This window comes from Homo sapiens, chromosome 6, assembly GCF_000001405.40.
Source record: "Homo sapiens chromosome 6, GRCh38.p14 Primary Assembly".
In the NCBI taxonomy this organism is placed as follows: Eukaryota; Metazoa; Chordata; class Mammalia; order Primates; family Hominidae; genus Homo; species Homo sapiens.
The window spans coordinates 89,129,701-89,152,609 of record NC_000006.12 but is presented as its reverse complement, the minus strand read 5'-3'; the positions used below and the strand labels follow the sequence as shown (position 1 = coordinate 89,152,609).

General features: G+C 42.4%; 1 protein-coding gene and 1 long non-coding RNA gene across 14 annotated transcripts in view, besides 3 other annotated features; one reads left to right on the top strand and one right to left on the bottom strand.

The window, feature by feature from the left end:
• Positions 1–22,909, bottom strand: part of PM20D2 (peptidase M20 domain containing 2) — a 71,626-nt gene that overhangs the window by 12,956 nt on the left and 35,761 nt on the right. For 3 of the 8 annotated variants that reach the window (NM_001010853.3, XM_017010289.2, XM_047418219.1), the window contains exons 1-2: positions 6,001–6,555; positions 3,197–3,345 (exon numbers count right to left, since the gene is read on the bottom strand). In NM_001010853.3, coding sequence (NP_001010853.1) covers positions 3,197–3,345; positions 6,001–6,465 — 614 coding nt within the window. In that variant the 5' untranslated portion in view covers positions 6,466–6,555. Of the gene's footprint in view, positions 1–703; positions 825–3,196; positions 4,086–6,000; positions 6,556–12,168; positions 12,288–22,909 lie in introns of those variants that run through there. The other 5 variants (XR_007059208.1, XM_047418221.1, XM_005248662.5 and 2 more) reach the window with 5 other exon arrangements.
• On the top strand, positions 5,744–22,360 carry LOC101929004 (uncharacterized). Of its 6 annotated transcripts, XR_942769.4 has the most exons (5): positions 6,625–6,917; positions 7,401–7,435; positions 8,777–8,863; positions 20,132–20,274; positions 20,628–21,629. It is a non-coding gene; the product is annotated as an uncharacterized LOC101929004 (long non-coding RNA). The 6 variants fall into 6 exon arrangements; XR_942766.4 differs by lacking the exon at positions 7,401–7,435 and having other exon boundaries at positions 5,744–6,917; positions 20,628–22,360; XR_942763.4 differs by having other exon boundaries at positions 5,744–7,435; positions 20,628–21,791.
• Positions 5,809–6,738: a silencer, noted in NCBI's record as "silent region_17386". NCBI's record gives its function as "represses an Ori minimal core promoter by ATAC-STARR-seq in GM12878 lymphoblastoid cells {active_cell/tissue: GM12878}" and the evidence as "EXISTENCE:reporter gene assay evidence [ECO:0000049][PMID:35858748]".
• Positions 17,453–18,090: an enhancer, noted in NCBI's record as "NANOG hESC enhancer chr6:89844239-89844876 (GRCh37/hg19 assembly coordinates)". NCBI's record gives its function as "activates a minimal SCP1, AML or CMV promoter by ChIP-STARR-seq in naive H9 embryonic stem cells {active_cell/tissue: H9 hESC(naive)}" and the evidence as "EXISTENCE:reporter gene assay evidence [ECO:0000049][PMID:30033119]".
• Positions 18,091–18,729: an enhancer, noted in NCBI's record as "OCT4-NANOG hESC enhancer chr6:89843600-89844238 (GRCh37/hg19 assembly coordinates)". NCBI's record gives its function as "activates a minimal SCP1, AML or CMV promoter by ChIP-STARR-seq in primed H9 embryonic stem cells {active_cell/tissue: H9 hESC(primed)}" and the evidence as "EXISTENCE:reporter gene assay evidence [ECO:0000049][PMID:30033119]".

Genomic DNA, 22,909 nt, shown 5'->3' with positions numbered 1-22,909 from the left:
TGGGTTAAGACAACCTCTGAAAATCAGATTATATTCAATGTTATCACAAGATACCCTAGTATTAAAGCAGTTGTTCCTGACCAATATCCAATATTTTATTATGTTCCAAAATGCCTACATCACTAATATTTTACATTTTAATAAACTGTTAAGTTCTCACACCAGTCTAACTGCTCTAATACAATTAAAAAAAAAAAGATTAGAGAAAGGATTGCGTGTTGAATAGTTACTTATAAAGCTCTGTGATTGACGTGCTTTGATAACACTTTTTAAGCCTGATTAATAATACCCACATTTAGGTGATTAGAAAACCAATCTGGACTTATTTTAATGGGTTAGATTCAGGAGTCCTTAGAATGCTTATGATATTTCTTCTCAACTGATTCCAGACATTCTATTAGCAGGACAAAAATCAAGTAAAAACATCAAACACGTATTAGATTTCAGGATACTGTATTGTTATTTCCTTGATATATATCTTATCACCATGACCTTGAAATGAATTTTTTTTTTTTTGGTACTCATCTCCCTCTGTCACCCTGGCTGGAGTGCAGTGGCGTGATCACAGCTCACTGCAGTCACCACCTCCCAAGTTCAAGCAATCCTCCTCTGCCTCAGCTTCCCACAGATGAATAGCTGAGACCACAGGAGTGCTCCATGCCCAGTTAATTTTTTATTTTTTTTTGTAGAGACAGGTTCTCACCATGTTGCCCAGGCTGGTCATGAACTCCTGGGCTCAAGAGACTCTCCTGCCTTGACGTCCCTAAGTGCTGTGATTACAGGTGTGAGCCACCTGGCCTGGCAAAACCGGAATTTCATCACAACTGGTGATAAATATTATAAAAACGAGAAGGATTATATGGAATTATTTTCAAGACATACTATTTAATTTTAAAAAGCCAGAACAATATATTGAGTGGAATACTTGAGGAAAACCTTCTTTCACAATTTATACAGGATTCTATTTATGTCCCATAAGTACACCAAAAACACTCTGAAAAGGATACATACCTCTAGAAAAAGGACTGGATTTGGGAAAGGTGGTCAGCAGGATTGCTTTATCTTATTCATTAGAAATTTGTGGTTGGGCCTGGCGGCTCATGCCTGTAATTCCAGCCCTTTGGGAGGCCAAGGCGGGTGGATCACTTGAGGTCAGGAGTTCAAGACCAGCCTGGCCAACATGGTGACCCTGTCTCTACTAAAAATACAAAAATTAGCTGGGTGTGGTGGTGCTTGCCTGTAATTCCAGGTCCATGGGAGGCTGAGGCAGGAGAATCCCTTGAACCCAGAGGCGGAAGCTGCAGTGAGCTGAGATTGCGCCACTGTACTCTAGCCTGGGTGACAAAACGAGACTCTCTCGGAAAAAAAAAAAAAAGAATTTTTAAGAAAAGTGGATTAGTAATTTAAAAAAAAATGAATTCTTGATCTTGTTCTCTTTTTTTTTTTCTTTTTTTTTGAGATGGAGTTTCACTTGTCTGGTGGCCAGGCTGGAGTGCAATGGCACGATCTTGGCTCACTGCAACCTCCGCCTCCCAGGTTCATGCAATTCTCCTGGCTCAGCCTCCCAAGTAGCTGGGATTACAGGTGCCCACCATGCCTGGCTAATTTTTGTATTTTTAGTAGAGATGGGGTTTTGCCAAGTTGGCCAGGCTGGTCTCGAACTCCTAACCTCAGGTGATCCACCTGCCTTGGCCTCCCAAAGTGCTGGGATTACAGGTGTGAGCCACTGCACCTGACCTCTCTTTTCTATCTTAAAAGATGACCAATGAAGGCCAGGTGTGATGGCTCATGCCTGTAACCCCAGCACTTTGGGAGGCCGAGGTGGGTGAATCACTTGAGGTTAGGAGTTCAAGACCAGCCTGACCAATACGGTGAAACCCTGTCTCTACTAAAAATATGAAAATTAGCTGGGCGTGGTGGCGCACGCCTGTAATCCCAGCTACTCAGGAGGCTGAGGAAGGAGAATCACTTGAACCTGGGATGCGGAGGTTGCAGTGAGCCAAGATCGTGCCACTGCACTCCAGTCTGAGCAATTGAGTGAGACTCAGCCTCAAAAAAAAAAAAAAAAAAAAAAAAAAGAGATGATCAGTGAGAAAGCTAAGAAGGCAGATACTAGGAGAAGGTCTGGGGTCAAGTGCGCTGACTTCAGAACCAAGACCACGAAGCCTAACCTTAAGTCCCAGAAGGGTAATGAGCTGCAGAGCCTGCCTGCATATGCAGGCCCCTTCTAGTCAAAGGCAAGGGCAGAGATTTCTAATCCCCAGTGTTTTCTAGAGATGGACTAGTTTACCACCACCCTTGAAACCAAAGTTCAAAGATTCCTCCTACTGCCACAGTACCAATTTCCAGTGATAAGAAGGAAGATACCCTAATAGTTAAAATGATCACCCTTTGAAAACAGGGCCTGGTAAGGTGCTAAGAGGTGGGATACCCGGGTACAATCTAGAAGCACTGCTGTGATGGTTCTGCTATCATTCCCTCAGTACCGAGCTACTTCTGAGGAAAACACATGGTTTTGCTGAAGCAGCTGAGCACTGGCTCCTTGTGCCTGGACCATTAACTACTATAGTTACTACTATGGTTGAAATTTCTGGTATAAAAAATCCAAACCACTTCAATGATGTGTGCTCCTAGGTACTAAAAAGTGAGTTCTTCAACATAAAGAAAGACAAATAAAAGGTTTCAGCACCAGACAAATCGGAAAAGCACAGAATGAGAAGTTCCACAAAAACCATAGCTACTCATGTTCCATATTCTCTCTCAGGACATAATTTATCCTCTTTGCAAAGAACTCAAATTAAAGTAAATAAAATGGATAAGTGTGGTTTCTTCCCATAGCTAATAGAACGATCTCTCGCAAATCTATTCAGTTGCAAAGACAATTTCATATGAAAGGACAGATGTTTTCCAGACACCAGATTATTGACAGTTCAAAAGAGAACTTAATTGTCAACATGTTTGTTATTCCTATGGTTTCTAAGTGCTACTATTTTAATACTCCAATTATGAACACCATAATGAATCTCAATTAGAAGAGGCTTGCCAAATGTCACTCCATAGATCAAGACATCTTGTTATTGTCTTTCAATTTACTTCTTAAATATACAAATGTGGAGTTTTCGTCTCTGGTTTAGACATAAAAGTATTCTATAGCCTGTGTTCCCCTAAGAAGTTTATCTTCAACTTGATTACTCACTCATGTTCAGCCATATCTGGTAGATAAGCAGCATTCTCTTGTGATGGGTGGGCCATAAAAACAACATCAAGATTTGTAAAAGCCCCTGCTTCAATTAAATCAATTTTGCCACCACCATCTTCTTCTGCAGGGGTTCCCAGGACAACTACCTAGAAGGAAATACTCATGTCAGGGAAAAACAACAAAATCCTCATAGGAATATATCAAACAGGTTCACCTGCATATGTATTCACAATCTACATTAAAGTCCTTAACCTATTAAGACAGGTTTTGTTCTATGACGCTTACGCAATGGGCATCAACAAATGGTGCTAAATTAATCACAAAATGTACATTGTTATACCAACTTGGTGCAAAGTATGTACTAAAGACACTATAAAAAGCTTTTCCCAATTTTACAAGTCAACTAATGGCAAAGATAAAAAAAAATACTACAAGTTTAGTCCCTCAAAATTTGTTAGGATTTGTTTCAAAAAGGTTCCTCTCGACTAAGCCTTTCAGTGTATGTATGTATATAATTATTCTTAAGTACTTTACGAGTCAGAAACTTTCTGTTAACTTACTACTTATCCTCACAACAACCCTGTGAGGTAGGTGGGTGATCTCTATCATCATTTTACAGGGGGTGTTTTTGAGGAATTGAGTGAAGTGTCTTGCCCCAGGTCACAGAGCAAGTCTTCAGGCAGAATTAGGATTAGATGTCCTGATCTTCTGGCCTAAACTCTGATTCCTTACTGGGCTACCTATTTTAAAAGTCTGAACTCATTAATCCTTTATGAAGAACATTAAACAAGTCTTAATGCCACAGTTAGAAACAGCCAACTATTACACAAACTTACTAATTCGATTCCACCAGTTCAACCAGGCAGATTTATTGGTCACCAAACACCTAATTAAACAAAAGAGAACTTTACAGAATAAACATTTTACTTTGATATTTAAGCTTAACTGCTTCAAACAATTTTAAAAATCAAAATAAACAACTAATATATTTTCAAGATCATGTATAAGAACACAATGAAACAAGCTGGAAAAGTCTTGGCTTGCAAAGGAAATCAACTTAAATTCCATTTTCAGATAATTAATAACTTAACCTTGCTAAAATTGAGAACAACCATTTGAAGTTAGAAGAGTGGGCCGGGAGCGGTGACTCATGCCTGTAATCCTAGCACTGTGGGAGGCCGAGGTGGGCGAATCACCCGAGATCCGGAGTTCGATACCAGCCAGGCCAACATGGCGAAATCCTGTCTCTACTAAAAAATGCAAAAATTAGCTGGGCGTGGTGGCACACACCTGTAATCCCAGCTCAGGAGGCTGAAGCACGAGGATCGCCTGAACCCGGGAGGCGGAGGTTGTAGTGAGCCGAGATAGGACCACTGCACTCGGCCTGGGCGACAGAATGAGACTGTCTCAAAAAAAAAAAAAAAAAAAAAAGAGTGTACATTTCTCAAAGTTTAGCTTTTTTTTGGCGGTTCTACAGTGCTCAAACTCTGACATGAAGCCGCCGCTCTTTTTTTTTTTAAGAGGAGGCCTCGCTCTGTTGCCCAGGATGGAGTGCAGTGGCGCGATGTCGGCTCACTGCAACCTCTGCCTCCTGGGTTCAAGCGATTCTCCTGCCTCAGCCTCCCGAGTAGCTGGGATTACAGGCGTGAGCCACCACGCCCAGCTAATTTTTTTTTTTTTAATATATTTTAGTAGAGACAGAGGTTTCACCATGTTGGCCAGGCGGGTCTCGAACTCCAGACCTCAACTGATCTGCCCACCGCTCTTCATTCTTGACCCTTAACTCATTAAATACGATATGTCTCTCGCTGACTACTCAGAACCTTTAAAAACGTGGTTGAAGCGAAATCTCTCCAGTGTTTGTGACATGGCAAAGCATGCTTCCCCCAACCCAAACAAAAACCTAACAAATGCAAAAACGAGCCTCCAGAGACAGAAAAAAGAAGGCAGCTAAAGTGAAAAAGCCACAAAAGATGTAGTGTTAGGATAAAAGAGGAAGGTTACTGACACTGGGGGAAATGAACTAAAGAGTATGAAAATAAAACATTTGTTTTCCCCTTAACTGAATGACGATTGAATCTTAGCTCATAGTGTAGAATATACCATCTGGAAAAGCAGAGTAAAACAGGATTAAACTTGCCCTACGACAAACATAAACGACATTTCCCTGTTTAAAGAGTCGAGGTATTTCTTAAAATCATAAAACAAAAAAATTAAGACTTAAGGATGAACTCATCTATGTATAATGCTCATTCACTTCCCCTTTATTTGTATACTTCTAGGGGTCTGGTGGTTCTAGCGACTGAAAATTCCTATCCAAATACCAATGACTTGAATCACATTTTCTAGGACTGCCACAAACAAAAGATTTATTTGGAGACGAATAAAAAGGGGCCGTAGGATTACCTACAAGAAGTTATTTCCTCCTGAGATTGATGGCACAACCTTGTCAGCAAATTGCTGTTGCCTCTCTCAGTTACCAAAAATAACCCGTAACAAACACCAGGCTTGGGTGTAAGTTCTTTCCTAAGGGAACAACTCAGCAGAGCTGTTTATAACTAGAGAGGAGGAAACAATAATCTGCAAGATGTCGCCAGGTCGGCAACGCGAACTGACTTTGACTGGGGGTTCAGCTCTGCTCCTGCGCCGAGGCGAGGACCGCAGGTTTAGCGCGGTCCCACACACACCTGCCCCGGGCGGGAGGGCACCGAGGCGCGCGGGACGCACGAGAGTCCCGCCCTTCCCGGGTCGCCCCCGACCCGGGCAGTCGGATAGGGTCCCGCACCCGGGCCCCACCTCACCTTCACGGGCGGAGGCGGCCTGGGGAGGCCCTCTAAGGCCCCCCTCACGCCCAGCGCGGCCGCCGCCCCGACCTCAGCGATGAGGTTGTGGCCGCAGGCGTGGCCGATGCCGGGCAGCGCGTCGTACTCGCAGAGGAAGCCCAGGTGCAGCGGGCGTGGCGTGGCGCTCGGTGCCCGGGCCTCCGGCGGCTCCCACTCGGCGCGGAAGGCCGTGGGCAGCTGGTAGTGCGGCTGCACTGCCCAGGAGGCCGCGGGCGGCTCCCGCTCGAAGAAGTGCGTCAGCACGCGGTGGGCATGGTGCTCCTCGTAGGCCAGCTCGGGCTGGCTCCAGATCGCGCGGCTCAGGGCCCCCAGCCGCTCGGCCGCCTCGTCGATGCACTCCGCCGAGCGCAGCTTCAGTAGCTCCAGCTCGGAGCGGCCATTGCACGCGCCCCCTTCCACGGGCCGCTCCCCTCCGGGCCTCATGCTGCCCAAGCCCGCTGCCCTCTGCGCCCTCTCGCTCCCTGGCTCGGCCGCAGGTAGCGACCGCCCGCGCACGCGCCCAGAGGCCTCCAGGACCCCGGCGGAGCGCGCACGCGGCCACACAGCTCCCAGGGCACCACCCCCAGTCCCGGGGCCGCCCCCGGCGCCGCGCGGGAAACGCTGGCGGCCGCTCGTACCCTACCAGGCGCTCTGCCCCGCCGTGGGGTTTTGGGGGTGCTGTGGAGAAGGCAGGGCTCGGGACTCTTCCACCTCCTTGGCTGCTCTGGCCTTTGAGTTATGCTCTAAGATTATCGATTACTTTTCCGTTGTTGCTTATTTCCCACAGCAGCAGAATGAGAACGGTTATTAGTTAATAGCCATCAGAGACAGACCAAGTGGAACACAGTCCTCGGAAAAACGCCACTCTGTAGCATTAGTAATTAAAACCTCACAAGGTTTGTATTTCCTGAAGGAGGCCGTCAGTGTCAATGCTGTACTAACGACGGTACTGTACGTAAGTTTCGGTACTGCCCCCACTTTCTTCTCCTTGACATTGTATTACTAAAAGCTGCAGCTACTCTCTACAGTTTTCTCATTGGTTACTAATGTCTGGAACAGCAGCTAGATTATGCAGTAAGCTCTTGGTATGTATTAGCTATTATATAATAATTTATTTGAATAGAGTAGAACTAAAAATTTGAAATGAGTTAAAACCAAAGAGTTAAAAGATTTATGGTAGTAAATATTCATACTGTTTTGTTGATTTGGACAGTTGTCTTGAACAGCTTTGAAAGGGAACATATGACAGGTTTCGTTTATAATTTTAATTGATGCTGAACTCCACTAACATGATATGTGCAGCTGGTGTTACATTATAACTGAGTTTTTTAATTACCCAGTGAAGAAATTCAAGATGTCATGCTCTTGTTTTTCTCCAGAGTGAACCACAAAGTCTGAAAAACTGTTGTTGACGGTATGCCTATTAATAACACTGTAGATGTTTATATTCTGAGGTTTTCCACATATTAAAAGCTTCTATCAGCTCTTCATACCCTATCATCTTTCCTTAATTTGTCTCAACTATGTTAAATGGGACACAATATATTAATGTGATAAACCAAATGAATATTTTGAAAATAAGTCTAAGGGAAGCTAACATGCACGAAGACTATCAACTACTGTTTTTACTACTCTATATGCTAATAATACCAGAGTAAATGTCACATTCCATTCACGTCTGAAAACTTTCTTTCTCAGTTAACACTCCAACAAAAACTCAGCTCTAAAAACAACAAATGTGTTATTAAATTCCTGGGCCCCCTTGGCGATAATAAATCTTTCTCTGGTATTCTGCTGAAGAAAATTACCCTGTATCCACGAGATCCAATATTATCCTGCTCAGTTAGTTGGCTAAAAAAAGGGGAGAAGGGGGGATTGGAGAGCAAAAGCAATAGGTGACATTTGTAGAGCAATTACTCTGTGCTAGGCACTGTTCCAAGGGCTTAGCATTTGTTAACTCATTTAATCCTCACAGCAAACTATGAGGTGGTTAATGTGGTTATTTATCTTCATTTTACAGATGTATGTCCAAGATTATAGAGCTAGTAAGTAGTGGACCCACTGTAGAACAGAAGCCAGAGTCAGCCTCCAGTGGCTGACTTTCAGCCACCATGGTCTATTGCTTGTGTAAACAGACATGCAAATTCATAAATGCATCTCCAGTTTATCTATTCAAATCAGAACCCACAACACTCATTTTGAATAAATTTTACTGCAGCAACTCTGCCTGCTGACATCAGTAGAACCCATGTTTGCCCTCCTCAGGCATCAATAAACAGCAACAGAAAAGGGATGCATATAATTTCATATAGAAGCTGCTATTTATATTGCTTTGCAGGAATTAACAAAGCTGCCACTTGAGGTAGAGGAAAGACAGATTCATTTCAAGCTCTGTTCCTTGTGTATATATGTGGGTGGGTGGGTGGGTATACATGCCCACAGGCACGTATGTATTCAGTTTCTACTGTTGACACCTTGTATTTCTTGCTCATGGTATTTTGCACCCTTGAATTCATTTATTTGATAAACTGTGATAACTTGCTGACCGTTTATCTTCCCCTCCAGGCTTTAAACTCTTTTGTTTTCCCACTGCATTCCCCAGCACCTAACATCTTATGGTCAGCATTTCCTCTGTGTTAATAAATATTTGTTGGCTGATTATTCTTCTTGAATCTAATAAACTAACTGAATAATGGCAGCAATTAACCATTAAACGACACTGACTACCAATAGACATTGTTATGCTTCTTCCTAGACTTCTCAGTCCTTTATGTGGAGCTGGGGGCAGGAAGAATTGCTTCTGGAAGCTGATGGAGTTGGACATGTGGCTTTCTAGAATCTGGTCAGCTCATAAATTCTTACTATTACTTTCATTTGTACCCATAATATTCATACAACTGTCTACCCTATCTATGTGCTACTGGTAAGGAACCTGTATGTTTTTATTAGAAACAAAAAAAAATGTATACAAGCTCCCTTCCTTTAGCTGGTGCTGGATCTGAGGAAACAATACAATATCCAGAATTTAGTATTAAGATGTATAACCTTTTTGGGGGGGTGAGAGGAGTGCAGATAGTTCTCTCTTGAGGACTGGTTTTAAAGTATATAAATGTTCTTTCTTGGCTCCTGATGAGAAAAAAGGGGAAAAAATATATAAAGATTCCTCTTCTTTCCTGGCTGCTTAGAAAACCAGCTGTCATCACAACTGACTCAATAACTTTGAGAACAGGACATTCATGACAAATGAGTGCTGTGGTGGAAAGAGTAGATCAAAAATTTCCTTTACCCTGGAAAAGCAACTAAAATACAGCCAAATTGTACAACTATACTGGGTATTATTTTGGGCTTCAGATTCAGAACTCCTTTTGAAAAGGCAGCAGGCTTTTGTATGGTTTATATTCTTTGAATTAAGATAGAAATAATAAAATAAAATCCCCAACATGGCAAAGCATGAGCTCATGGCAAAGCATGAGCTAAATGAGAAAAAAAAGTTTTTGAAAACAGAAAAAGGAATGGAATGAAAAATAAAATGAAGAAAATTAAAGGTAGAGAAAAAGTAAATAGAAGTACCAGAGAGCTTCAGTGCAGGATTTCAGGAATGAAAAGCAAACAAACAAAAATAATTGTGGGGGGCCGGGCGCGGTGGCGCACACCTGTAATCCCAGCACTCTGGGAGGCCGAGGTGGGTGGTTCACGAGGTCAGGAGATGGAGACCATCCTGGCTAACATGGTGAAACCCCGTCTCTACTAAAAAATACAAAAAATTAGCCGGGCGTGGTGGCACGCACCTGTAGTCCCAGCTATTCGGGAGGCTGAGGCAGGAGAATGGCGTGAACCCGGGAGGTGGAGCTTGCAGTGAGCCGAGATCGCGTCACTGCACTCCAGCCTGGGTGACAGAGCGAGACTCCGTCTCAAAAAATAATAATAATAATAATAATTGTGGGGGAAAGGAATAAAAAGTGCAAAAATGATTTAATCCAAGGAGAGAGTGCAGATATTTCACCAAAAAAATCAAACTTATAATACCTTCAAAATATATGATATTTCCAAAAGTGCATGTGAATCCAGCCTACATCGTTTCAGTTTAACAATACTTGGAACTACAGCAATTTTCTCCTGAACAAAATGCTGGCCACTGCACGATTTGAGGACTGCTGCTGCCAGCATGGAGAAGAAGCAAATCACAGTGTCACTTTGGTATACTGGTCATTTACAACATTCTCCTAAGCATCCCCAGACACACATGCAAACTTGGTTAACTCCAGAAACTTCTCTAGCTGAAACAAACACGTAACACGCACTAGATAGCACATGTAAAATCAATCTGGGCTAAGGTGTTGGAAGAGCTGGTTGTCATATGGCAGAAAGCAGACAACTAAGAGAGTAGGTGAGCAGAAAGGTGAATTTGATTGGGGATGAAGGGACATAGAGGAAGTGTACAACACATTGCTAAGGAATTACAACTTTAGCTGGTTTTGGTGGCTCATGCCTGTAATCCCAGCACTTTAAGAGGCTGAGGTGGGAGGATAGCTTGAGCCCAGGGGTTCAAAACCAGCCAGGACAATATAGGGAGACCCTGACTCTACAAAAAATAAAATAAAATAAAATAAATAGTAAATAAGCCAAGCATGGTGGCACACATTTGTGGTCCCAGCTCCTCTGGAGGCTGAGGTTTGAGGATCGCTTGAGCCCGGGAGGTCAAAGCTACAGTAAGCATGATTGCACCACTGCACTCCAGTCTGGGCAACAGAGTGAGACTTTTGTCTCAAAGTAAAATAAAACTTGGACAATGGCTAAACTATTGGATGTTATTAAGCAGGAGAGAGACAAGATCAGAAATTTGTTCTACAAGAATAATTGATGACTATTTGGAAGATGAATTGGAAACAGACTTAGGTCTGAGATAAGTTAAAAGCTTTTGCAGGCCAGGCGTGGTGGCTCACGCTTGTAATCCCAGCACTTTGGGAGGCCGAGATGGGCGAATCACTTGAGGTCAGGAGTTTGAGACCAGCCTGCCCAACATGGTGAAACCTCATCTCTACTAAAAACACAACAATTAGCTGGGTGTTGGGGCGGGCGCCTGTAATCCCAGCTACTCAGGAGGCTAAGGCAGGAGAATCACTTGAACCTGGGAGGTGGAGGTTGCAGTGAGCCAAGATTGTGTCACTGCACTCCAGCCTGGGTGACAGAGTGAGACTCTGTCTTTAAAAAATAATTTAAAAAATTAAAAATAAATAAAAGGCTCTTGCAAAGTCCAAGGATTCCAGAAACATTCCGTGGGCAGAAATGGCCAGACTTAATTCCTCACTGAATGTCTGTTTAGGTGAAGAAGGTGCTCCAGAGAAAGGGGGAAAGAGAACTGAAGTTTCTCGGGTTAACAGCTGAGTGAATGGTAAAGCCATGAAACAAAATAGGGGAAATAAGAGAGTGAGGGGCAAATTGATGGATGTGCATTAGACACGTGGAGAGGAGGTAGATGCAGTTGTCCAGGAGGAGACCAGCAGAGCACCAAGGAAAGTGCATTTCTACATAGCTAGTATGAGTAATGGTATACCCAGAGGGGAATTAAACCATCCAGGGAGTGAGTGAGTTGAAAGGGAAAAATGTAAGCTGAGGAAACAACCCTGAAAAACAAAAAGGGAATGAGCAAAAATACCTGACAGACCCTTGCTTCTGCTGGGCAAGATTCTATTACAACTCGTTTTCAAGTTCTGTGCGGATTTCTTCAAATGGCCCACAAAGTGAAGGCAGTGACTTTAAAGCCCTGAATGTCCTGGTACCTGATGACCTGAGGCTCCCTTTGGCTTCCCTTCTCTTGGCAGTGAGATTAGCTGCTCTGTTCTCCATCACTATTCCTGGAAATGAGGACAGGGAGGTTCTGAGAGGATAGGCTTTTCCTTTGCCCTGATTCCCCACAGTGTGTACAAAACAACACTGCAAAGACGTAACCCAGCTTGTGGTTAACAAGAACATTTCTCTCCTACCGTTATGGCTTAGGAAAATGGGTGGAGAACTTTGACTGCCCCTGGTCCTCTATACAACATCTAGAGCTTGGGCCCGGTGCAGTGCTTTTAAAGTCCTTGAAGAGATTGATCCCTCAAGCAATGTGTTCACCTCGACTGTGTACATACCATGGTTAATAATTACCTTTACTAAGGATTCACTTCTCAAACTTCCTGGTCAATTTGTTGCTACATATTTCAAAGATGCTAGCAGGAATGGATGGCAGGTATAGATGGTCACAGGGTTACAATCCTCAAGGTGTTCTGTGGGAATAAATTTTTATTAAAAATGTGATAAGTCATTAATAAAAATATGTGTGTTCTAAAAATTAGTAAATAGGACAGGACTGGTGCTTCATGCCTGTAATCCCAGCATGTTAGGAGGCCAAGGCAAGAGGATTGCTTGAGCTCAGGGGTTTGAGATCAGCCTGAGCAACATGGTGAGACCACCCCCCCATCTCTACAAAAAAGTTAACAAAAAAAATCAGCTGGGTGTGGTGGTATGTGCCTGTAGTCCCAGCTCTCTGTCTCTGCATGTGCATATGCTCACGTTTGTGTAACAAATGTAATTTGTTTATGGCTGGGGCCCTTTTGCAGCTTCTCCGTTTGCTCCATTTTTATCTTTAGGCCAGACTTGAGGCATTAAATTCAAATCCAGACCACTGATGGTTATATTTTATTGAATGCTTTGAAGGGAGATAAAGAAAGCATTACATCATACCTTGCACTGTAAACTTTCCTTAAAATGCTTTAAGCATTTCTCTTTTCCCCCAGAACCTCTCTCCCTCTGGCAACTGACTCATCTCTCCTTTCCTGCCTATATATACCCAACAGCCACTCCAGCTGGGGCCCCACCCTTATCACCTTATTTATTTATTTGAGACAGGGTCTTGCTCTGCCACGCGGGCCAGAGTGCAGGGGCGTGATCACAGGTCATTGCTGATTCAATCTCCCAGGCTCAAGCAATCCTCCACCTCAGCATCCAGAGTAGCTGGAACTACAGGTCCAAGTGCTAACCTCCAGTGTGACTGTATTTGGGAGCAGGACTTTAGGGAGGTAATTAAAGTGAAATAAGGTCATAAGGGTGGCTCTCGCCTATAATCCCAGCACTTTAGGAGGCTGAGGCAGGAGAATGGCTTGAGCCTAGGAGTTCGTGCACAGACCAGCCTGGCCAACATGAGACTTTACCTCTCCAAAAGAATACAAAAAATTAGCTGGGTATGGTGGCACAGGAATGTAATCACGGTGCTATGGGAGGCCTAGGCAGGAAGATTGCCTGAGGCCAGGAGTTTGAGACCAGCCTGAGAAACACAGCAAGACCCCATCTTCTCACACAAAAAAAATTTAAAAACTAGCTGGTCATGGTGGCATGTGCCTGTAGTCCTATCTATTAGGGAGGATCAACTGAGCCCAGGAGTTTGGTAAGCAATGATTGTGCCACTGCACTCCAGCCTGGGCAACACAGTGAGACTAGGTCTCTAAAAAAAAAGCAAAGATTAAAATGTTCCTCAAAAGCTTCATTTTACAGTCCTATTTGCTCTAATATTAAGTTTTCTATGTCAACTAACAAAAATTTCATCATTGCTATTATTGTAAGCTACCTGACTTCACTAAAACTACCTTTCTTTGTTATAAATTAATTTGGCTTAGGGGAAAAGTTTGTTCAAGATGAACTATGATAGAGATATTTATTTATTTGTTTATTTATTTATTTATTTTTCTAAGACAGAGTCTCACACTGTCACCAAGGCTGGAGTGCAGTGGTGCCATCTCTGCTCACTGCAACCTTTGCCTCCCAAGTTCAAGCAATTCTCCCACCTCAGCCACCCAAGTAGTTGGGACTACAGGAGTGCACCACTACACCCATCTAATTTTTGTATTTTTAGTAGAGATGGGGTTTCACCATGTTGGCCAGGATAGTCTCGACCTCCTGACCTCAAGTGATCTGCCCGCCTTTGTGATTAGCACTTTGGCCTCCCAAAGTAAGCCACCATGCCAGGACTGATAGAGATATTTAATTCAATTTTTTTCAGGCAAATGTGATAGCTGGCCAATTTTTTTTTTCGTTTTTTAAAATCTTTTGTTTTTTAGAAACCTCACCTGGAAAATTTCCAAAAACCTAGAATGCCATTTTTATTACCATTTCAGAAAAGTAAATACTTTCTTCATTGTCTAATTCATACCAAGTGGCAGCAGTTGATGCTCTCATTTCTTTTCTTGTCTAAAATTAGCTTATAATTGTACCCGAGTGTTGTTGTTGGCAAGTGGTCCAATTTCTTTCTCCAGGAACACTTGACCATGCAGAGGTCTGCAACCATGAAGACATATAATATGGTTCTATCATGTTGCTTTGAAAGTTTGATGCTGGGTGCATGGTCTCATGCCTGTACTCCCAACACTTAGGGAGGCCAAGGCAGGAGAATGGCTTGAGCTTAGGAGTTTTAAGACCAGCCTGGGAAATATAGGAAATATAGTGAGACCTTGTCTCTACAACAAATGCAAAAATTAAAAAAAAAAAAAAGAAATCTTGAAACCCCAGATTTGACCATAGCACTAAATACCAAGGGTTAGTACAAGACAAAATTAATTGTAGAACAGTGTATGCTGTTGAATGGAAGTGAACCAAAATTATATTGAAAATGTGAATAAAAGGCCTAAAAATCAAAGTTATTAAACTGGAATGTCCAATGGTTTATATTTACCATTAGAAGAGACCTATACCACATAAATTAATTTTAGAGTAATAGAGAAACTACCAAAGGAAACAAACAATGAATATGTCTGAAGGAAAGAGAGAAAAAAAGAGGGGGAATAAGGAAACAGTATGCAGCTGTAAAATTTTCATATTGCTGTAGTCTGGTCTAAATATTTCTATTTTTAAAACTGTCTGCAATAAAATAATAAAATAAAAAATTGTAATATGCATTTTTAGCCCAGGCATTACACAGTGAAGGTGAAGTAAGTTTAAGAAAACAAGCTAAGCTAAATAAATAAATGGAAAGGCCAAAATAGCTTATTACCAGCCTCTTTGCTTTTGATTAATGGCTAAATAATTTTCATGCAAGATCATATTAAACCTGAACTTCTATGTTGCATGATAGGATCATCCACTGTAGTTGCTAAACCAAAATAATTTGATCTTCAAATACCTAAGGCTGTGAAATAAACAAATCCCCTATACATGAACTCAGATTCTAGTTTCAAACTCTGAAACTCTTTCTTTCTTTTTAGAGATGGGATCTCACTATGTTGCCCAGGCTGGTCTCAAACTTCTGGCCTCAAGGAATCCTCCCACTCAGCCTCCCAAAGTGTTGAGATTCCAGGTGTGAGCCATTGCATCCAGCCTGAAATTCTTTCTATAAAGTGCTTCTTGTGTCCCATTTTGGACTTTCTATTAGCTTCACTGTATATTTTTTAAATTAATGTAGAATCTCAGTAAGTGTTTATTAGTTTTTGGTTGATTTAATATCCAAAGCAGCAATTGTTGGTAAAGTTTCAGTGGAATTGAGAACTGTGTATAAAGGAGAAATTATAACACTTTATAGAGAATCACCTTAATCAATCCATGATTCTAACAGGACAGCAAGCCTGTGTGGGAGTTGAAAAACCTTAAAAGCTGACACAATAATCTGGAGGAAACATCTCATACAAGATATCAACATGTCTGTAAGATGAAAACACTGTAGTAATGGCTTCCACCCTTAGCCTCCACTAGTCGTACCAGAGAAATTGTCTGACATCCCTTTGCTATACTACCACATTTTGGGGCAACTTTACAATGAAGTATAGAGTTCATCAAAACAGAAATTTATTCTGAGGGAATCTGTAAGATTAATAAGGGCATGAAATGTGGAAATTTTCCAAATATAAAGGTATATATAGTGTATCTGGTTAGAAATTTTTTTTTTTGAGACGGAGTCTAGCTCTGTCACTCAGGCTGGAGTGCAGTGGCGCGATCTTAGCTCACTGCAAGCTCCGCCTCCCAGATTCATGCCATTCTCCCACCTCAGCCTCCCGAGTAGCTGGGACTACAGGCGCCCACCACCACGCCCGGCTGATTTTTTTGTATTTTTAGTAGAGACGGGGTTTCACCGTGTTAGCCAGGATGGTCTCGATCTCCTGACCTTGTGATCCGCCCGCCTCAGCCTCCCAAAGTGCTGGGATTACAGGCGTGAGCCACTGCGCCCGGCCTCTGGTTGGAAATTTTAAAAGATTTAAGTATCATGAAGATGTATATGTTTGAAAATATTTTGCGTATTAACATATTAGAAATAAATTACACTGAATTAGCAGAGTTAAGTGAACATGATTTAACTCATGTTCTTGGTAAGGACGTCTCTTGGTCAGTAAGATACTTGGGAACACCGATCTAACAAAGATGATGAGACCTCACAGTTTGACACTGAAGTGGCCATAGGCATTCTGGGTTCCAACTAAGGGAAAGTTGAACTGGGCATACATTTGGCTTGGGTTTAGTGGATATAATTATGTGTATTGCAGTCACGTCTGCAACACTCATCTAGCTGTCTAGGTGCAGAAATGGCATCCAGCAGTATTCTTATTGCCCACATGGCAACTTACCTGGCATCCGCACAGGTAAATGTTCAGGGCCAGAGATCATATTGCAATATGACCTTGTCCTACAATGGGCAACACCATAAGTATATGGATAGTGAAGGGGAAACAAGGCTTGAAATGAATGGAGATAAAAGTCAGTCTATTGGAAATGCTTCTAGTCACCAGATATGTAAAACTGTTAAGGAGGGACAAGTCTGTTTTCATCTTCCTGGTCAAAAAGGAAGTTCTGCTTGTGAAGAATATACTCAATGATGCCATATACACAATTACAACTGTTTCACAGTTTTCTCCTCTCTTTCAATGGGAATGGTACAAAATTGAGTTTATCAGAATTACTGCGTATAGGGTACAAACTTAGCAGTACTACACACAATCTGTCTGATCTTGATGAAGGCTGATAACATGTCACTCACTGGAAGAAAATTTAAATTTATCAATAAAGATAATATAAACTCATATGCCATTGAAATAAGACATTGAAGACAAACTGGTTAATGAGTGTGGCCAATTCAAAGAGAACTTAAGATTTATCACTGTCCAAGAAAACTTGAAATGCCTTTAAATCTTACAGCCAATATACAAAAAAAATTTGATAGAGGCTTTACCAAATTTGACGATAATCCTAAAAATATACATGGCATTACTTGTAATGGATTATAGCTAAATAATGAAGCTAAAAGAAACTTTTCTAAATGATCAATAATAAAAACAAATTTAAATCAATTATGCTAGACTTTCTATAGAAAACTACATTACAAAACCATTGCCTTATGAAGAGGTGATCAAAAATTATGAAGTAAAAAAAGGAGAAGTGGTATATTTTTCTGAATTTTGTGATCTTTACAAATTTCTTAAGATTTTAAATGACCATTTTCTCTTCTTATCTGTAGCAATAGTTGTTAGTCTCCTTCCCCGATTCCCTTCAGCAAGCCAGTGCACCCATCTACCAGCTCCTGCAGGTGTTCACTACCAAGGACCCACACCTGTACCCTTCTGCAGCAGACTGACTGCCCAGGCCTAGGGGAGCCACCTTGCCTGGGAGCTTGAACCACCCCAGTGACTGATCGATGTAAAAGCTTTTGACTCACAGCAGGGTAATTTACACTCCAGAGCTACCCAAGAAATCAGCCTGAGGCTAGATCTCTTCCGAAACCATCCCTTTGCCTAATTACCCCTGCCCTATCTTGCATCCCTTTCTCCCTTACAATTTTCTGAGAGCCCACTCATAAATCACTTGCACAAGAATCTCCATCTCAGGCTCTGCTTTTAAGGAACCCCACCTGAGAGAGTATCTAATTTTGTATTTGTAATGTTGTGTTCTTATATAGTTGCCCCCAAATTTTAGAAGCTTCAAGTTCCCCCAGTTGTGGATCTATTTCTGGTCCTACTTATTGGTATCACTGCACAGGGGAAACTGAGCTAGAAAATGGGGAATCCATTCTTCAAGTGGTTTGAGGAATAGGCTTGGGTTGCTAACTATTTTAGTAACTACTATGATATCCCACCTGCCTTTTGTCACCACCAAAGAAAGACCGAGCTGAAGGGGTAGGATAAAAGATGTGTGGGGGTTCAGTCAGGATGGTGGGAGAAATTGTAAAACTATAGGAAATAAACACAAACCCTCTTGGAAGGCCTGGGGGTTTGCATAGTTCACTTAAGTGTTTGGCCGAAGGAAGCTGAATTCTCTTAAAGGCTTAGGGCGTAGATGCATAGGAATGTAGAGGAGTTTAGCTAAATAACTTGTTTACTCATGTGGTCCTAAAACTAACCTTTGATCAGGATTGAGATCAGGATGGCTCTAGGTGGGGGCAACTAGGTTAATTACCCTCTAATGGTGTTGACTCAAAGCCTTTGTCATTTAATGTGTGCTGAATAAATGCCGGCAGGGCCAGGAGTCAGGGCCGAGGCTGCAACTCTACAGCACCCTCCTTGGTGTCTGTAAGTGGCCCAGACCCTCAGCCGGACTGACAGGCAAAATACCTGTGTCAGTGTACGTTATTCATCCGTCGTTGGGTCAAGGTCTGCGGGACAGACCCCTGCAAGATGGATTCACTAAAATTAGATTTAGCAGCATTTATTCTAAAACCCAAATATCATGTAATTTAATAAGAATTGTATTTCCCTCCCATATAAAATATGTCTGGTGTTAGTCCAGGACAACTTCACTGCCATCAGGGACCAAGTAGTCACACTTCTGTTCTGCTATCCCCAGTGTGTGGCTTCCTTCCTCAAGGTTTCTTCATGAGTCCAAGATAACTGCTGGCATTCCAGCTATCATGCCCACATTTCAGGCAGTAGGAAGAAGAGAAGGACAAAGAGTGTGTCCCCTCAGCTGAAAAAAAGTCCCTTAAGGGGCCATTCCGGGTATCTCTTATTACATTTCTCTTTACATGTCTTTGACCAGAATGTGGTCATATTCATATCTACAGGCAAGGGAGGATGAGAAATATAGCAGGCATAAAGGAGGCAGGAGGGTGATGCAAGCAAGAAGAGCCAATACAGTGTGCATTAGTGAACTGACTGCCACTCTATGCAGCCAGGGCCCAACCCTGCTGAGAGCTTCTGAAGACTCTATAGAATCCACTTGGAATTGTATACTATTGATAAACATATAATTACATAAAACAATATCTATACTTATGTATAGAGAAAACAAATAATTATGAGATTTATATTAAAATATTTATAAAACAGCTAAAGTTTTATCGAATGTCATTTTGAACACAAGTATGTTCTTTTATTAAATTTTTATATTTTATCTTATTTTATTTTATTTTTTAGAGACAGGATCTCACTCTGTTGCCCAGGTTGGAGTGCAGTGGCATGATGATAGCTCACTGCAACCTCAAACTCCTGGGATCAAGTGTTCCTCCCACCTCAGCCTCTCAAGTAGCTGGGACCATAGGCATGCATCACCATGCCTGGCTAATTAAAAAAAAAAATTTCTTTGGTAGAATGAGGTCTCACTATGTTGCCTAAGCTGGTCTCAAACTCCTGGGCTCAAGGTATCCTCCTGCCTCAGCCTCCCAAAGTGCTGAGACTACAGGTATGAGCCGCCGCATCTGGCCATTAAGTAGCAGTTTTTAAAATGCTAAAAAATAATTAAAAAAAAAGATTAAAATTCCTTTTGAAGAGAAGCGATGTAAAAAGTCTTTACTTTCTTTTTTTCTTGAGATGGAGTCTCACCATGTCGCCCAGGCTGGAGTGCAGTGACGCAATCTCGGCTCACTGCAACCTCTGCCTCCTGGGTTCAAGGTATTCTCCTCCCTCAGCCTCCCGAGTAGCTGGGATTACAGGTGTGTGCCACCACACCCAGCTAATTTTTGGTAGAGACAGGGTTTCACCATGTTGGCCAGGCTGGTCTCGAACTCCTGACCTCAAGTGATCTGCCCGCCTCAGCCTCCCAAAGTGTTGGGATTACAAGTGTGAGCCACTGCGCCCATCCAGTCTTTAGTTTCTTGATCTTAGTTCCAATAATTTGTTCACTCAAACTTTGAATTAATTTCAAAAGAATTCATTTCTGTTTTTAGGATGTGATGGTGCAGGAAAAACTCCTGCCCATTGAGAGGGCTCCGTAAGTGCTTCCCAAAAGAGAATGAGAAGGAAAAGGAGATCTCCACAGGAACTGCCTCCTTGGATCCAGGGCAAAAATGAACCTCCTATTGGAGAGAAGGTGAATGAATGTGGCTTGGCAGCACAGGAAGTTTGAGTGGAGGGAAGGGAACGGCCCATTCTTCTGAAGGACAATGAGGAAGCTGTTGTTTGCATAAGCTCTCTATGAAGTGATGACTGCTAGGCCAGTGACAGCATCATCCCTGTAACTTCAACCATCATCTCCTTTTTTCTTGAGTGGATCTGTCTTCATTAGGTTCTTTTATTGGGAAACTTATTTCCTCCTTCAGGATTGAGTTGGTTCTTGTCAGCTTTCCATAGGTGTCCAATAGGCTCAGTACTTTTGATTACTTTCTCTTTGGAGGTTGATGTCCTCCAAAGATGACTAACTTTTGCATTCTCCTTTTTGAACAGTGCCCAGCTTGTCAAGAAGTTGAATCGGTGCAACCAGCGTTTGTGAAAGCAGCATTTCCCATTTCACATAAAGTCAGCTTCTGGCCAACTGGACAAGTCTGAACAAATATGAAACCCACTAAAAGGCCAGTGACAGGTGCACACACTACTGACTCTGGCTAGAGGCTGTGGCAGGAATTGGACTCATGTCATCCAGCGACAGTTCCACCAGCATCTCTTGTGGCTTCCCAAGGACCAGCCTGAGGCAAACTCCTCAGTGGTGTGAAGACTTTCCATGTCACTGGAAACCCACCACAGAGTTCTACCAAGTAACCATGCCTCCACCAGTCCACAACAAACTTTTAAGGCCTCTCCAGTTATGCCTGCAACCATCCCACATTAGCAACCTAAGTAGGCCACCAGTAGAGCTGGTCAAGAGAAAGGATAGGTTCAATTAATTATTTTTTAATTAAAAAAAAATAGAGACAGGGTCTTGTTATGTTGCCGAGGCTGGTCTTGTACTCCTGAGCTGAAATTATCTTCCCGCCTCAGTCTCCCAAAGTGCTGAGATTACAGGTGTGAGCCACCGTACTCAGCCAGATAGATTCAATTTTTAAAACTTTATTGCCATTACTGTTCAGTAACCCCTTGATATGGTTGAATATTTGTCCCCTCCAAAACTTATGCTGATATCTAATCCCCAATGTGACACTATTGAGAGCTGGGGCTTTTAAGATGTGATTAGGTCATGAGGGCTCCACCTTCTGAATGGATTAATCCATTCATGGATTAATGAGTTCATGGGTTAATAGATTAATTTATCTTGGGAGTGGGATTAGTGGTTTTATAAGAAGAGTGAGACCTCAGCTAGCATATTAGCACTCAGCTCCCTTGGCATGTGATACCACCTTGGGACTCTGCAGAGAGTTCCACCAGCAAGGCCTGTACCAGATGCAGCCCCTTGACCTTGAACTTTTCAGCTTCCAGAACTGTAAGAAATAGGCCAGGCATAGTGGTTTACACCTGTCATCCCACCACTCTGAGAGGCCAAGGCCAGTGGATTGCTTGAGCCCAGGAGTTTGAGGCTTCAGTGAGCTATGATCATGCCATTGCACTCCAACCCAGCCTGGGCAACAGAACAAAACTCAGTCTCAAAAAAAAAAAAAAAAAAAAAAAAAAAAAAAGAAGAAGAAGCCAGATACAAAAGAATACATTCTGTATGACTCCATTTATTAGAAGTTCAAGGCCAGATGTAGTGGCTCACACCTGTAATCCTAACACTTTGGGAGGCCAACACAGGAAGATCACTTAAGCTCAGGAGTTTGAGACCAGCCTGGGCAACATAGTGAGACTCCATGTCTATTAAAACAAAAAAGTTCAAGGAGAATCCAAATTAATGGATGTGGATAGAAATCAAAGTGGCGATTCCTCTTCAGAAGTGAAGACTGACTGATAGGAGAAATGAGAGAACTTTCTGAGTGATGAAGGTGTTTTATATCTAGATTGGAGAGTTGGTTACACAAGCGTATATATTTGTCAAAAGTCATCAAATTGCACACATATTATTTCACAGTATGTATGTTTTACCTTAAATAAAAATGTTTTGGCCAGGCACAGTGGCTTACACCTATAACCCCAGCACTTTGGGAGGCCACAGCAGGAGGATCTCTTGAGCACAGGAGTTTGAGACCAGCCTGGGCAATATAGTGAGCCCTCATCTCTACTAATGAAATAAAATAAAATATAACATAAAATAGCCACGCGTGGTGATGCAGGCCTGTGGTCCCAGCTACTCAGGAGGTTGGGGTATGAGGACCGTTTCAGCCTGGGAGGTCAAGGCTGCAGTGAACTGTGATGATGCTACTGCATTCCAGTCTGAGTGACACAGTGAGACCCTGTCTCCAGAAATAAAACAAGACACAACAAAAAAAGTGTTGTATACTTTTTTTTTTTAATTTAGAAGAGAAGAGCCAGGCACAGTGGCTCACGGCTGTAATCCCGACACTCTGGGAGACCAAGGCAAGAGGACTGCTTGAGCTCAGGAGATTGAGACCAGCTTGTGTAATATATTGAGACCCCATCTCTACAAAGAAATATATATTTTTAATATTAGCCGGGCATGGTGGCACACACCTGTAGTCCCAGCTGTTTGGGAGGCTGATGTGGGAGGATCCGTTGAAGCAAAGTTTGAGACCAGCCTGGTAAACACAGCAAGATCCTGTCTCTACAAAAAATTTGTCTCAAATTAGCCAGGTACAGTGACATGCATGTAGTCCCAGCTACTCAGGAGGCTGAGGTGGGAG